General features: G+C 43.7%; 1 protein-coding gene across 8 annotated transcripts in view, besides 2 other annotated features; it reads left to right on the plus strand.

Annotated features, from left to right (window-relative positions):
* The window catches only part of GRAP2 (GRB2 related adaptor protein 2), a 79,902-nt gene that overhangs the window by 31,410 nt on the left and 31,833 nt on the right, over nt 1-16,659 (plus strand). For 4 of the 8 annotated variants that reach the window (XR_007067996.1, NM_001291824.2, NM_001291826.2 and 1 more), the window contains exon 1: nt 1,375-1,624. The exons of the other annotated variants lie outside the window; for them this stretch is intronic. The gene's annotated coding sequence lies outside the window, so the exon portion shown is untranslated. Of the gene's footprint in view, nt 1-1,374; nt 1,625-16,659 lie in introns of those variants that run through there. 8 annotated transcript variants of the gene reach the window in all.
* Nucleotides 7,683-8,347: an enhancer, noted in NCBI's record as "OCT4-NANOG-H3K27ac hESC enhancer chr22:40328916-40329580 (GRCh37/hg19 assembly coordinates)". NCBI's record gives its function as "activates a minimal SCP1, AML or CMV promoter by ChIP-STARR-seq in naive H9 embryonic stem cells {active_cell/tissue: H9 hESC(naive)}" and the evidence as "EXISTENCE:reporter gene assay evidence [ECO:0000049][PMID:30033119]".
* Nucleotides 13,890-14,642: an enhancer, noted in NCBI's record as "H3K27ac-H3K4me1 hESC enhancer chr22:40335123-40335875 (GRCh37/hg19 assembly coordinates)". NCBI's record gives its function as "activates a minimal SCP1, AML or CMV promoter by ChIP-STARR-seq in naive H9 embryonic stem cells {active_cell/tissue: H9 hESC(naive)}" and the evidence as "EXISTENCE:reporter gene assay evidence [ECO:0000049][PMID:30033119]".

Here is a 16,659-nt window from a genome sequence, read left to right on the forward strand (position 1 = left end):
TGGACATGTTTCAGACTTGAGATCATGAGACCCTGACCCAGGCTGGGGACAATGGGATGTCTCCATCATACATTACATTCCTGTGAATACTTCTTACAGATTCATATGAAATTCTGCCTCAATGTGCCTACTGTCTCTGCACTGTAAGACAGTGATATTGTGATCCTGTGTGCTGCTTGGAACCAGCCTCATTCCTTTAGCACCCCAGTTTGGACTTGGAGTGGGCCCAAGTGCAGCCTGTACACAAACCTCAAAGAATCCAGGCAGCATAGATGTAAAAGCTTGGAGCCCTCCAAGTCCACCTCCTCAACTTACCAAGAAATAAGCTAACTCTTGCTCATCTCCCTAATGACGGATTCAGCATGTGGCCTCAGATCTTCCTGTGCTCCAGCAGTGCTTCTGAGGCCAGTCCAAATTCTGCTTTGAGGTGTGCGTGTGCCAATTGTGGTGCAATCCAGAAGCATTTTGGACGAATGAAGGAGCTGTTTGTGTTTTCTTGCCCTAATTGAGATAGTTGAAGCTCCTCTCCCTTACTCTACACCAAGCCCCCCAGATCCGGTACCTCCCTGAGTCCCCGACTTCATCTCTGCCTTGCTTCTTTTCCACAACACCCTATCAGTTCTTGCATCCTGCCATTGGTTGTGCTGTCCTCATTATCTGAAGCCTTTACCTCCCCTCTTAGGCCTCATCACCTCCAGGAGACTCTCCATGGCCTCAGCCCCTCCCTTAGGTGGACCAAGCTTCCTCCTTGGAGCTCCATGCTACCCTGCATAGGGCTCAGTCACTTTGCCTCCATGATGTCTTGCAATTGTCTATTTATATGTCTGCCTCCTGTCCTTCAACTGTGAGCTCCCTGAGGAAAGGAACTGTGGGTATGCATCATTGAATACTCAGCATCTAGCACGGTGCCTGGTACACACTAGGTATTGAAATGTCTGATAAATGAATGACAGTTGCATATTTGTCTTTTTGGTATATTCATTCATTTGGTAAATATTTATTGAGTAATTACTTATAATTGAATTGGCGCTGTGTAGTTACACTTAAACATCAAAATGAGCCTATCCTCTCAAGCTCCAAATTATGCATGCATAAATTATACATGTGAAGTGTTAACATGCACACGCAGCAGAGAGTGTGCGTATCTACAAATACCAGAGCTAGCAAATGAAATAAACTGTGTGCCAGATGTCCCTGAAATTTACAAAGAACCAAGAACCAAAAATGACAGTTAGCTCCGTAAGCCCAACAAAAGAAAAAAAAAAAAAAAAGGAAAAGAGCAAAAAAGCAAAAGAACAAAAGAACCTTGAGCATAAGGAAGTGGCTATGGTTTTTTCTACATGCTCTAGCTGGGGGTGGGGAAAAGTCATAAAAGCATTCTATGCTGGACCGGTTCGTGTTAAGTCTGAGTTCCTCAATCGCTGGCTCTCAGGAGCTGTTTGGAAAATTCGTTGCCATGCATGAGTCGGGGGATTGGTTTTTTTTCCACTGGAAATTGTTAATGGGGACTGCATTAGCGGCCCCTTATCGCTTTGCCTGATAGAGAGACAGCAGGTTCGCCCAAACAATTCTGGAACCCTGATCACTGCCAATTAGGGGAGTATTGTCTGGCTGACATAATCAAGTAAGTATAAATATATTTATCGTGATTGGAATGGGGAAGGGAGACTGCAGAAAGATTGAGGCAGAAGCTGCCACCCACTGCCTGGCTCCAGCCTGGATCCAGCCCAGTTTGTCACCCTGTGCTCAGCAGAGGCGGTCACTGGCTTTCTGAGGTGGAATGCACAGTTGAGAATTCAGGACTAGAATTGCTTCTCCCAGAGAGAAACTTGTCTCTTCTCATTTTTCCTCCCCTCTTCTTCTCTTTTTTTCATGCTCACTTCTGTGAGAGCTGAAAAGAGAAGAAAAAGCAGATGCCACGTTGATCACGTTTTAATTCTGCCCCCCCGGCCATGCTATCCCCACTTACCTTCTCTGTAGTGGAAAGTGATGGTGAGGCACAGTGCCCTGACTGGACCTCCCATCCTCTCGGCCCGCCGGCATGTGCAAGTTGGTCTGGCATTGGGTTTATTTCATTGTTGATTTGTGGAGCTTTTTGGGAATACCTGTGATGTGAATCAGCCCTGGGATTGAAAGACCCTGAAAAAACAGTCCCTTGCAGTGGGCTAGTGACGGGAGGAATTGCTCACATTTAAACAGCTGAAAAGCAGACATGTTTAAGTCACATCTGGTGGCATTCCTGTTGTCTGAATGGAGAGCAAGGTCTTTTTAAGCATCTGCCCAGATTTCAAAATGCAGGCTGCATCTTTTCTTCCTCAAACAAATGGTCAGGATCGGATATGAATGGCCTAATCGCATCGGGAGAGGTAAACAAAACTGATCTCATGGCTGGATTTCAACCTTGGTCCATCCAGGCCCAATCGATCTAAGGCATGACTTTTTTTTTTCCTCTCACCCATGACTACTTGATAATGGCCATTTCCGGGGCCAAGTTCATTTCGGCTCTTTTCCACCATCCCCCGTGTGCTGCCCTGTCTCACCACTTGAGGGCTGAGGCCCCTTCCCAATGGCTACAACAGGGTAAGGGGACCCTGTCCTTCTGTCTCCTTCATCCTATAGTTTGTCTTCACAGCTGCAAATTGCTCTCAGGCCTGCCTTCCTGGATTTGACAAAAACTATTTTCTTACTGGTACTATGGATACCACAAGTGGAGATGTAAGTAGGAAGGTGCAGGTCCACAAATAAATAGGGAGCCCAGATGGGAGAAATGTCATTAGAGAGATCACTGTCCCTAAAGGCATCTGACCACCCATGTTCCTGCCTCTTTCTGCGACCATTTTCCTCCTTCGGCTGCTCAGAAATTGTCGAGGCCAAACTCCTTTCACCCAGATTCCAGAAATACACTTATTTCCTTTGCTTTCCAAATCTTAATGGATGAAACACCTCTTTTTTTTTGTCTTCTATCTCTTGCCAGAAATATTGTTTTTTGAGAACCAGAGCTCATTTATCTCCAAGGGAGAAAGAAATTCATTCCATGTTTACCCATTAACAAATTACCACTTACATGAAAATACTGGGACTTCTCTCATTCTTTGCTAATAAATGGGTTATTCACCTTGGTTGAACCATGGCAGAGGCAGATGGATAGCCACTATTCCCTTCAAGTTGGCTTAATATTCTCTCGTTGGCTTTTGTCTCCTTGAAGCACAGAGATTTCTCAGAGCTTTCTTTGCTTGATTCTGCTTTTAAGGAACGTGCCCAACTTATTTGAGTCTGTTTGTTTAGTAAGCTGAATTGATTAAATCCCTGGCATTTATGGAGGAGCCTACTGTGTTGGGTGCTATGGGTTCCTCCCCACTTGAAAGTTGAATTGGAGTCACCCATCTGAATACTAACTCCCTCCTAATCCATTGGTTTTCCTGCTGTGTAGACAGGGGTATGAAGTAGCCATTTACCAAGAGATAGTGCGATGTCATAAACCGAACATGAGTTCTAAAGTTAGCAAGACCTGGTTTGTACAGTAGTGCAGGCTTGGGCACGTTGCTGCTCTCTTTTGAGTCACACATTCCTCATTATAGATGCTGATGGGAACAACAGAGCTGTCTGTTCATCTTTGCTCTTCTCCATAATGAGATAAAGCCAAACAGACAGTGAAGAGCCTGGTCTAACCACATAACGTTGGTGCAAATTATATATGGTCATAAGAAGGTAATTTTTACCTGAGCATTTAGGTGGCATTTGGTGTGGTATTTGATGCATGTCATTTAGTTACAGAGATAAAACCTCCTGAACACACATAAAGCTCTTGGCCTGGTTGAACATTACATCTCACAGATTTTTATGTTTTTTACTAAGGATACTTCCTGCTAGGAAGTTGTAAAAGAGAAGATGGAAGTCTTTTTAATGGTATTGTAGCAATATCAGTTTCCTAGCTTTGATACTGTACTATGGTGATGTAAGATGTCCCCATTAGGGGAAGTGGGGTGAAGAGTACAGGGGACCTCTGTACTATTTTTGCAATTTCCTGAGAGACAGAGGGAAAGAGAGAAAGAGAGAGAGAGAGGAGGGAATGAGTGGAGTGACATGAAAAAGGAGTGTTCATCTTGGCTTATGTCCCTGGCTGGACAAATATTTACATTTTGTTTGCCTCTTTGTATAGATTTTGTGAATAGTCATGGTTAAAAGCTAGCATTCCCTTTTCTGTGGAAGAGAAGAAAGATAATAGAATGAGCTGAGAATCCCTGCCAACATTATATTAGAAAGCCACCTACTTCCTGCCTCTCCTCACCCTCCTTACCTATACAAACTTACCTTCTGCATCTTTGTCCTCCTTCTTTCCCATTCAAAGGGGAGATGCGTCTCCTGCTGAACAAATGAACTCCTCCGCATGACCAAGGTGTCCCATCCCTCCCTGCTGTCTCCAAAGGTTCAGTCCTGCTACATAATCTCTCTAGGTGAATTCCTTCTTACTCAGGGTTTTCACAATCATCTATATTGGAATAGCACCCAAATTAATAGCTCTACCCAGACTTTTTTATTGAGTTCTATACCTGCATAGCCAATCCTTGACTGGGAGTCTCTACATAGATCATTCACAAGCATTTCAAACACCCCTTTAATTATCTCCTCTTTCTGTATTCCCTTATCTCAGAAAATGCTACCAACATCTACCCTAATGCCCCCAGCAGGAACTCAAGAGTCGTTCTAGACCTATGCTGTCCCAAGTACTTCAATGTGGCTTGTCCAAATTGAAATGTGCTGTAAGTGTAAAATACACACCAGATTTCAAAGACTTAGTTTGGAAAAAATAATGCAAAGTATCTCAATAATATTTTATATTGATTTCAAATTGAAATGATAATATTTTGGACATATTGGGTTAAATAAGTTATTAAAAATAATTTTCTTTTACTTTTTAAAGTGCCACCAAAATATTTAAAATGGCATAATGGCTGGCATTTGTGACTTGCATTCTATTTCTATTGGATAACACCATTCTAGACTCTTTTCTGTCTTTTAGCCCCCTTCCAACTGGTCATAATTCACAGTGATTCCCTTGAGTTAAGACAAGGGAGAATACTGTTTAAGTGCACAGGCTGAGTTTGAATCCTGGCTCCACCATTTTTTGATACATATGAACTTGGGTGATTATTTAACCCCTTTGAGCTTCACTTTCCTCATCTGTCAGCTGGATACAATAGCAGTTCTTATTTTGAGATTCTTGCATGCTTTAAATGAGATAATGTGTAAAGTACTTACTATGGAGATAAAAACATGTGGAAAGACCCAGTGTCAAAAGAAAGAGCATGATCTGTCACTGTTGTAGTTCAGGCCCTCATCATTACTAGCCAAGACTACTGCGATGCTTTCTCCATCTTCGGTTCACCCTGCCCTCCATTCCTTCATACTGCCATCTGATTAAACATTCCTGAATGCAAATGTTTTCAAATGTCCAATGACTTCCCATCATCCTTGGTATGAAGTCCTAAGTCCCTGGCATGCTTTCAATGTCCTCCATGATCTGCCCCCAGTCCAATCACTGATCCCATCTCCTGCCAGTCCATGATTGAACCAGTTGGGTCCCCAACTCCTATTTGCACACACCATTCTCTCTGTGTGTCATATATGAGCTCTCTACTCTGCCTAGCTACTTGTCTGCAAGACTCAGTTCAATTGTCACCTCATTTGGGAAGCTTCCACTAATCCCTCCTGCACCTGTCTCCGTCCTAGGCTAGATTAGGAGCCTGCCCTTTGGGTTCCTGAACCACTTGAGGTGTGGTTCCTTTATCATGCTGATCTCACTGGTTTGGCTGACTTGTTTTTCCTACAAGACTGAACTGTCTGAGGTCTTAAGATGGGCTGTCTAGTCCACACTGGATCTTCATGCTCTACACAGGGCTTGACACAGAGTGGGGCACAGGAAATGTTTGTTGAACGAATACACAAAGCATATGGATACTCCTGAGAGAGAGAAGGTGGGCAAGACAGCCTTGTGAAGTTAAGCAGCAGAAAATCTGAAAACGAACCTGGATAGAAATCACCAATTCCTGGAAGTACAGAGAGAGGAAGGAGAGAGAAGAATCTGTGCAAGGAGTCAGTAATGGAGGACTTGAAATGAAAGGCTATTAAAGAGAGAAGATCATTCAAACAACAGAACCACATTTGGTACTGTTGGTGGTTTTGTAACTTCCTCTGAAATGGTTCCAGGAAGAGACAAGGTTCTAGGATGGTGCAAATCATATAAAGAAAGGATGGGGTATTATAAGCCAATTCAAGGATTATTTGTCATCAGGACTAGATACATGGGTGGTACAAGTAAATGTCAACCTGATGACTACACGATGGGACTAGTAATAATTTACTGGGGCTGGTGCCCAGGAAATTTTTTGCTGTGGTGCAGATGCCAAGCATGGAAAAATTTGACGAGTTATAGGCATGAGAAAGTAGATGGCGAATTTGAGAGTAACAATGTAAAATGCCAGAGTAATCACAAGAGAAATGTCTGAATATGTAAGAGAGTTTAGAAGATTTCTGCTTTACCACAAATACGGACTTCAAGAAAAATTCCCTTATAAGAACAGAAATTCCAATATATAAAACTTATTTATCAAAACACACAGTATTCCATAATATATAATGGTAAAAGCATGCCTTTTGACCCACACAATATTAAAAGCAGCAAATAACACAAGAAAGGTAGAGAAAACAGAAGGTACAACATTTTGTGGCTCACAGGATATATGAGTGAGATTATATACTTCTATTCCAAACCACAACCTTCACTAGAACATCTAAAGGCTTCATTCTAGAACCTTCATACTGCTTATCCCAAAGGCTAGCCCACTCCCCGGTTTTCATGTAAGAAATCTTGTGGGACAGGCGTTGCATGAGGTGAGGGGCAGCAGGGAAATTCGAGATGAAAGGGTGAAAAGATCAAACGAGTCCTTGCTATTCTTCTTAACAATGCTTCAGTCCACCACTTTGAGATTTCTGTGGAGAAAGTAAAGATTTGGGATATACATATACTAAAACAACTATTGGTTGCTTATCTGAAAATTAACTTTAGCTGGGCATTCTGTATTTTATCTGACAACCCTACTTGGTGAGGTGTACATTTTCTTATTCATACTTCCTGCGAGCCACAACATGTCTTAATAGTTGTTAGCTATTAAGGACTATGCATAAAAGTGACAATAGCTGGCTGGGCACAGTGGCTCATGCCTTTAATCCCAGCACTTTGGGAGGCTGAGGCAGGAGGATCACTTGAGGCCAGGAGTTCAAGATCAGCCTGAGCAACATAGGGAGACCCCTGTCTCTACAAAAAAAAAAAAAAAAAAAAAAAGCTGGATGTGGTGGCATGCACCTGTAGTCCCAGCTATTTGGGAGGCTGAGACAGGAGAATCACTTGAACCTGGGAGTTGGAGGCTGCAGTGAGCCCTGATTGCCTCACTGCACTCCAGCCTGGGCCACAGAATGATACCTGTCTCAAAAAAAAAAAAAAAAAGTAGCAATAGCTAACAACTATTGAATTATTGAGTGCCTACTATGTGCCAGACACCATACTAAGTGGATTAGATGGATATTCCACATATTCTTCCCAAGAACATTATGAGGCAGGCACTATTATCATCCCTGTTTTTAAAATGAGGAAACTGAGGCTCAGAGATGTTAAATAACTTGCTAAGGGTCACTCAGAAAACTAGTAGTAGAGAAGGGTTTGAATGCTGGCAGCCTGACTCCAAGGCTCATGTGCTTGCCTACCTTACCCAGATGGCGGCAGCACTGAGCAAGGGGTAGATAACTTCAAGTCCCCTGGAAGAATAAGAGAAAGTGAGACCATGGGGTATGAGGGGGGCAGGCCCTGAGTAAAGCTTTAAAGGAGCAGTTGAAATTAGACCCGGTGCCTTTGTTTAAGTAAGAAGAATGTGCTAGTTCTAAACAGATGCAGCCCCATACTGGGACTCACAGCTTGATGAGAAGCGCACTGGATGCATTTCAGCCCTTACTGCAACCTCAGCCTGAGGCCTTTATGCAGTGAGCAACCTGCACAACCATACATAGCAATGTGAGTTTGATGGGAGAAGGAAGACCAGTGCAGAGACAAGGATGTCGATGGAGTGCTTAGAGAACAAAGGGAAGCTATTTACTAAAGCATGTTTGCATGGTGCAGGTGATTTTCTAAAGTTAATTTTGACAGACAGGATGGGGAAAGATTGTTGAAGGCCTGAAATGACAAGAGAGACTTGAGTGGATCTGGGAGGTCATGTGACAAACATGACATTAACAAATTCTAAATGGAAAAAATGACCCTCAGAAAGTTGTGTGTCAAGGCCGGGTATGGTGGCTCACGTCTGTAATTCCAGCACTTTCGGAGGCCAAGGCAGGTGGATCATTAGAGGTCAGGAATTCAAGATGAGCCTGGCCAACATGGTGAAACTCCATCTCTAGTAAAAATACAAAAATTAGCCAGGCGTGGTGGCGGGCACCTGTAATCCCAGCTCCTCAGGAGGCTGAGGCAGGAGAATCTCTTGAGCCTGGGAGGCGAATGTTTCAGTGAGCCAAGATTGCGCCACTGCACTCCAACCTGAGCAACAGAGCGAGACCCTGTCTCGAAAAAAAAAAAAAGAAAAGAAAGAAAGTTGTGTGTCAAAAGCTTCAACACACAGGGGCCTTTGCTCTGTCAAGCAAGGAGAATAGGGTGGAGGAGGAACAGGAACACAGTAGCTAAGGTGACAGCTGCCTCACAAAAGGAAAGTCTATGGCTTGCAAAAGAGGTCGAGGAAAGCGGAAAAGCAATTGCCGAAGAGGGACAGTAAGTGAAAAGATGAGTTTCTTCCACTTGGCATCTCCCCAAATATGGCCCTGAAGGAAGAGTTGACCCTGTTACGGTTTCTTTCTTTTTCCTGTGGGGTTATTAGAGTGACATATAAGAAAAGGGCCACAGGCACGGCACAGCTTGATTTCAGCCAGGCTTTGCATGACACCCTACAGAGCAGAATGAGGACAGATAGGCTGAAGGATAACTACTTAACTGGGTAGGTTTCAAGTTGATACTCAGAGTGTTGATTAAAGGGTGGTCAATGACAACCTGGAGGAGGTCTTTAGGTAAAGAAACTGAGTTCAAAGATAACCAACTTGCATGAATGAAGGAGCCAGGATTTGAACCCAGCCCTACCTGATTCAAAAGTCCATTTTCCATTTATTATAAAACAAAAACCAAAAAGGCATGAAGTTCACTTATGAAAGAAGAGTTGAAAGATATAACCAGAGGGTTAGGAGTACAAATCCATGCCCGAATGAATTGTGATAGGCTGAGAAATTGGCCAAAGGGGGAGAACAAAAACACAGTGAAAGTCAGAAAGGTTAAATGTGAAGCCCTGCATTTTGGTTTCAAGAAACCCGTTGCAGAGGTGGAGAGGTCCAGCTTGACCATCTTCATGTTGGGAAGCACCCGGGCTTTTGTTGTAGTTATTGTTGCTTAATTCCCAAACAGCAGCGGGGTGTGGGGGCACACGATTGTAGCCCCAGCTACTCGGGAAGCTGAGGCAGGAGGATGCCTAAAGCCCCGGAGGTCAAGGCTACAGTGACCCATGATCACGCCACTGCACTCCAGCCTGGGCAACAGAACAAGACCCTATCTAAAAAAAAACAAAAGAAAACAAAAAACCAGCCAACAGTGTAACACAATTACAAAATCTTCATGTACAAATGAAGTGATTAAATCATCCTATTCTACTCAGCCCAGCTCAGACCATATCTTGAATACTGGGTTCAAGTCTAGATAATGTATTTTGTATTTTGAGAAAAATATTGAATAACTGACAGGAGACCTGAGGAAAATGACCAGGAGATCAAGAGTTGGAACCTTGTCACATGAAGGGTGGTCAAGGACTCTGGGGTTATTTCAGCTTAGAAATGGGAATTTGGGATTTGTGATTCTCATTTTCTGTTTCTTTTGTTCGTTCATTCTTTCTTTCATTCTTTCTTTTTCTTTCTTGTTGTGGTTCTTAGCACAGAATTCAGATGAAAGAGCTTTTGATTCAACGTAAACAATTCACCAAGCTGTCAGCTCACTCCAATCCCAGCCGTCCCCGATGCCCATTGTCTATCATCTCAATGAATTAGGGAAAAAGACTGACTTTCTGGGCCACTTCCAACTTTGAGAATCTAGGATAGGGGCACTATTTAATCAAAACTGGCAAGTAAAAAGAAAGAGAACTATTTTAAACAAGACAAATACAAGAGGTGTTGAACCAAACTCAAATTAGAAAGAACAAAATTTCCCAAAAATAAGAATATTATAATTCATTTGATGAAAGGAATTTGCCATATTATCCCTTTTACTGGCATTTTTTTAGTACCTTTACTTGTAAAAATGTCAGGCCCTCCCACTTTTCTGGGATAGACTTATCGAATGAAGCAAGGGGAGCTTCTCTATGGATAGATGATCACTTTTGCAAGCTTTGAGATCAGTGAGCTGAAAAAATGACCAGCATTCCAACAACAAATGAGGGCTTGGGAGCGTAAGTAAAAGTGACAGCAAGATTAAAGTAATTGTGGTCATGCCGTCCTCTGCTGACACTTTTGTGTTTTGCCCAGATGAGAATTAAGGTAGCCCAGGGCACAGGCAGTGAGGAAAAGGAGAGGGGCGCTGAGCGTATTTGCAGCATTTGTGAACCATGTCACAGCCCTGGCGAAAACAGAGCAAGAAGATGGAGGCTTTCAAATCCATGATAAATAAGCCATGCTTTCAGAGCCCAAATCAGTAAAAACAAACATTAAGTGAACAGAAGGGAAGAGGGAAAAAAAGAGAACATGAGGCCACCATAAAATCCTGGTGATATATTCCAGGGGAAATCATGATGTGAATAGAAAATGAGAAGTAAAAGAAAATGAAGCCTGGAGATTTGTAAAATGTCTGTCTGTCTGTCTGTCTCTCTCGACTGTCATTCCCATCTACCCCTGCCACCCCCACCCCGCCCTCCACCCTTCTGATGGGGTTCATTAGATGATTTCTGATTCAGGGGTGGGGGGCGGTATTTTTAATGCTTCACTTATGTTTGGGTTTTGCCAGCAGGATCCGAGGTGTTTCTGTAGACAATTGTTATTGCTTTAGGAAACAATAAGAATAAAATGAGGAAACATCAAGTGATACATCAGTCTAGCAGCAGAGTGAGGCTCGAAGTAGCATTTCCAGCGAGGTTGGTGGTCTCTTTTTGCCTTATTTTTGTTGTTTTGGATTGATGTTTTCATGGTGTCATTTTAATAAGAAAAGTGTCAGAGAATTAAAAGTGGAAGTATGCGAGATACACTTTCTCTAACTGGATTCATGGTAAGTTATTAATGTTTCAAGGAGAAAGAAAAGAACTTGGAAAAAGCAGAATATATTGTGGGGAAAGTTGATGAAGGGAAAGGTAAGAGAACTGTGACAAATGAGACACAGACAGAAGGAGAGAGAGAGAAAGAGGAAGAGAGAGAGACAGGGTGGTGGGGGGGACCGGCAGAAGAAAAGGAAAAGAGCGACAGTTTGTAAGTCTATTAGCTGAGATTGTTTCCATTTCTGCAATTGCCTTAAAGCGCATGATTGCTTGGTCTGAGGTCTGCCAGGTCGATTGCAGTCTTTACCTCTTTGACCAAGAAGTAATGGGCTTGAATTTCCTGGGTATGTGAAAATTGCTCTTGAATGTTTTGGCTAAAGGACAGCCACCCAGGAAGGTTGAGAGGGCCTAAGCTAGTGAGCAGTCATCCTGACCAAGTAGGAGGGATTTGGTTATGTTGCTCGTAGCAGGAGAGGCAGAGCAGCAAAGTGAAGAGAACACACAGCCTTAGGTGCCAACAGACATGTACTGAAATCTCTTGCCTCCATTTCCCACCTCTAAAATGCAAAGGATGATAGTAACAATAATAAATGTTGCAACGGGTGACCGATTATAAAGTTCTTGTCACCTGATAGACCATATCAATCCATGGTAACTTATTCTTAGCTGGTTCACGTTTCTAGGCATTGGCACAGTCTGGGTGGTGTGTGTCCCCTCAAAGGTAGCATCACAGTGACTGAGCTCTGCATAGATGGCAAAGTGTAGAAGCCTGGTCAGTTTTCTGTTTCTCCATCCACCATTTCTCCCCACTTCCCCTTGGTTAGTGCTGTCTTCTCTCTTTCCTCACTGAATTGTCTTGATTAGTGTCATACTTTCTGATAACACTGCAGCTAGGACTCCACAGGCAATAGGGAGAAGCTAGCGCCTGCCCAGGGAAAGTGAGGAAAAATAGGTGCTTGAGAGGCTGAAAAGTAGTATACGCTTGGTGGCCTTACACTTTGTAGAAACAGTTTTGGATTTGTCTCTACAAGAAAGGATTGTAGATAACCAGAATGCAAAAATGCTTTGAAGAAAGAGACATTGAGCATTGGAACCAAGTATTCTACGTCCTCTTCCCTGCAACACTGGGGACTAAGGATTATTATCTGCATTTCTGGTGAAGAAACTGAGGCACAGAGAAGATAAACTATGGTTCTCCGGCTACAAAGTAAGCAGCAGAGCCTAGAGTTTGAAGCCAGGTCTGACACCTAAGTCCCGTAGTAAACCTCCCACTGAGGTAGGCAAGCCTCGCCTTGCAGAGAGTGGCAAATTAGGGAAAAAAGAATCAAATGTGCTTGAGTTTAACAGAACATATACATTATACTTAAAGAGAAAGATACTTTTCTTACAAAAAGTTTGAGGACAAATGAGACTTCATGTGATGCGTCTTGCACTAAAAAAAAAAAGTTAGATTATATAAGCCAGACTGGCGTTGATTAAAGAAGAGCAAGGTAATAAATACGCATAAGAAGAAGGAAGTGGCTGGCTCTACCTTGGGCATCACCCAAGTTACAGGCAGGGGAGGGGATAGGCCCTGCATGGGGACAGTCTCCTGACTTGTCTTCTTCCTTCTCTACTTCCCTCCCTTCACTACCCCTCCCTCCAAAACCCAAAAAACCTTAAGCAGGAAAAAAGGGAGCTAATTAAAAAAGAGAAAAACATCCTTGAGACCAATGAAGTCTCCATAATCCACAGTGACAGACAGGGACCTGCAGAACAGCAATTTGATTAAATAAGGATATAAGGGATTTAAAAGGACTCTCCAGTTGTGTAAAGTGTGTCCATACGTCTGAAAAATACCGTATTTATTTGGCTCCCAAACCTGAAAACCTTCTGACGGGGGAGATTGTTCCCATTTGGAAACTAGGAAGAAATCACAAGGCAAGGCCATGGGGTTCTGGCAGGGCTGGGGATCCCATGTTGGGTGGAAACCCCAAGAAGCCAGCCAAGGGTCTGCAGGAGGGGCCCTGGCAGAGAGAAGCATTAGAATGCAAGGGCAGGTAAAGCCACCCTCACAGAAGGTGACTGTGGGCTGAGCCTGAGGCCCTTCCCAGATGGGGAAGAGAGAACAGCACACCTCTCCTGCCCACGCCTCGGTATCTCACTCAAGAATCAGCTGCCCGTTAGTCACCTGTCATCGGAGACAGCTCTGTTGGCGGCTTTCAGAAAAAGCGAAGCAGCCAGAGGATGAATCGTTATTCGGGGAACACACCTGCACACAGGACAGGAATGGATGGGAGTGGGGAGCGCCCTGGGGCTACTGTTCAAACGCCATCCTCATGGTCTCCAAGACTTGCATCAGCAGCTCAGCCGCTGATGAATTATAATTCTCGGACAAGCTGCAGAGGCCCCCCTCGTTCCATGTGTTCACCCCTGCCGCTCATACTGGGGGATTTATGCTTCCTGGGGCTAGGAGGAGAAAATAATGAGTCACTGGGGACAAGAGAAAAACAAAAATGCCCTGTATGTGCAAAACCACCTAAAATGGAGGCTTTTAGAGGACACTCAAATCCCAGCCAACTAGCCAGAAAGGGTTTTGCTGGGGGTATATTTTATGTGTCTTTGCTATCTTTGGATGCAGTAAAGCCAGAAATGTTTATATCTCTTGGAGGGATCACCTGTGCAAACAGGACAGGTCCTCTTGAGAAGGCTGTTTGTTCTCCTGGGATCTCGAACCTGAGAAGAAATGGTCCTGGCCTGGCGCGGTGGCTCGCGCCTGTAATCCCAGCACTTTGGGAGGCCGAGGCAGGCAGATCACAAGGTCAGGAGATCGAGACCATCCTGGCCAACACGGTGAAACCCCATCTCTACTAAAAATACAAAAAATTAGCCGGGCGTGGTGGCAGGCGCCTGTAGTCCCAGCTACTCAGGAGGCTGAGGCAGGAGAATAGCATGAACCCGGGAGCTGGAGCTTGCAGTGAGTGGAGATCTTGCCACTGCACTCCAGCCTGGGGGACAGAGTGAGACTCCGTCTCAAAAAAAAAAAAAAAAAAAAAGAAATGGTCCTGCATCTCTGACTTGGGAGGTCCAATTAAGCAGAGGAACTGTTGGCTGTAAACCTTCTAAAGCAGAGGATCCTTTGGGAGGCTGAGGCAGGTGATCATCTGAGGTCAGGAGTTCAAGACCAGCCTGGCCAGCATGGCGAAACCCCATCTCTACTAAAAATATAAAAATTAGCGGACCGTGGTGGGCTGTACCTGTAATCTCAGCTACTCGGGAAGCTGAGGCATGAGAATTGCTTGAGCCTGGGAGGTGGAGGTTGCAGTGAGCTGAGATTGTGCCACTGCCCTCCAGCCTGGGTGACAGGGCAACTCCATCTCAAAGTAAATAAGTAAAGCAGAGGACCCTGATGGCCACCCCCAAGTTCATAGCTACCTGCACACTTTATGTGGTGAAGCACTGGTGGGGGGCCCAGGAAGCCCTGCATGAGTTGGTTGTAGCTGCCATGATTCCAACTCCCACGCCACCCTCTGCACCTAGCCACAGAGCCGCATCTCCAGAGAAAACCAGAAGCAAGACCCCACCAAAAAAGAATGTGAGAGTCTATTTTAAAGGCTCCGGAAGATGAGTTAGAAGTGATTCAAGAGCAGGCACAGTAAAGGAATATGTAAGCCTTGGTAGACATTCAGTAAGAAGGGTAACATTTCCAACATGACCAGCTGATTAACAGGTATTCTCTAAGCAGGGTGTCTGCTGGTTTAGAATAGAGCAAAAATATTGTCATCTGAGAGCCCAAAATGGGGAAAGGCTACTCCTTGGTCTCTTGGTGAGGCCCAGCCTGTTTTGTTTTTTGTTTGTTTTTTTTTTTTTTTTCACTTTCCCACTTTATTTTCAGAATAGATTGATTTGGGTCTCTAGAAGAATATTTAAGCAGTGGCTTACAGGCGAGCCATAAGGTAGTTGTCCGTTCTATGCTTACAAATTTTCAAGAAGGGCCATCTGTAACCTTTCTCAGTTTCCTGTTCCTATGTCCAATGCCCAATAAGAGGTAATAAACTAAGGCAGAAAGGCCCCAAACACAGATGTAAGATGCAGAGCAAAGAATAACACACAGTAGGGGTTTCAATACAGGATCATTAACCCAGAATCCAAGCAGGAGTGAGGGAAGTCCACTCAGGAGGAATGGGAACCACCTCTCCAGGCTGCTCAGGAGGAATTTAAGCATCAGACAGTGTGTAGGAGAAGATGACCACGAATTCTTTGACATCTAAGCAATTCTGTATTTTAAAGGTTTGAGTCTTTGAAATGTTAAAATTGATGCGCCTTAAAACTCATGAGAGACAATGAAGACAATCACCGAACCTGTCTAGTTAAAGGTTACCGGGACTCAAGATGCAAAGAAAAGTTACGAGATGGAATTGATGGTTTGGGGTGCACCATTGCCCTCTATTGGATTTTAAATAAATCAGACCTCTTAGTGTAGGTATGTTGCACTATCTCTGGCTGAGTTTGCTGAGAAGTCAGGGCACCTCTGAGTGGGAAGTTAATTGATCCTTTTAAATGGCTCCTTCTGTCTCCTGCTCCTTCCCTGAGGAAATCAACCAGAGTAATGCTGAGGGCAGGTCATTTGCATGTCTTCATTCATCCAACAAACATTTCCTGGCTGCCTGCTAAGCCCGGGCTAGGCATTGTAGAGAATCTAAGAAAAAATAACAACTGCCATTCGTTGGACACCTACTGTGTATCAGAGTCTACGCATTAATACAGAACAACCCCACGGAGTAACTCTGGTGACTCCCATCCCACGGATGTGGAAATAGGACACTCAGGAAGTGGCACATTTTGGATTCAAATCCAGGTTCGTCTACTACTAGGCCTATATTCTGTCCACTAAACTACAACTTTTCCCCTTAAGAAGTTTATAAACTATTAGGGGGAGATAGGATATAGATATAAATGTATATATCAGGGTTTGACAAACTACAGCCAGTGGGCCAAATTCAGCCCATCATGTGTTTTTGACCTTGAGCTAATTTACATTTTTACATGGTTGAAAAAAATATCAAAAGAATAATAATACTTCCTGTCATGTAAAAATGCTATGAAATTCAAATCTCAGGGTCCACAAATAAAGTTTTATGGGAACCCTGCTATGCCCATTCATTTACCATCATCTAAGGCCACCTTCCTGGCTACAAAAACACGGCGAGTCATTGTGACAGAGACTAGATGGCCAACAAAGCCAAAATATTTACTCTCTGGCTCTGCACAGAAAAGGTCTGACAATTCCACATCTGTACTCCAAGGTGAAATGTTCTATATCAACAGGAGAGGTGTTTTTTTTTTTTGTCTGTTTGTTTTG

The sequence above is a fragment of the Homo sapiens genome, chromosome 22, assembly GCF_000001405.40.
Source record: "Homo sapiens chromosome 22, GRCh38.p14 Primary Assembly".
Classification (NCBI taxonomy): Eukaryota; Metazoa; Chordata; class Mammalia; order Primates; family Hominidae; genus Homo; species Homo sapiens.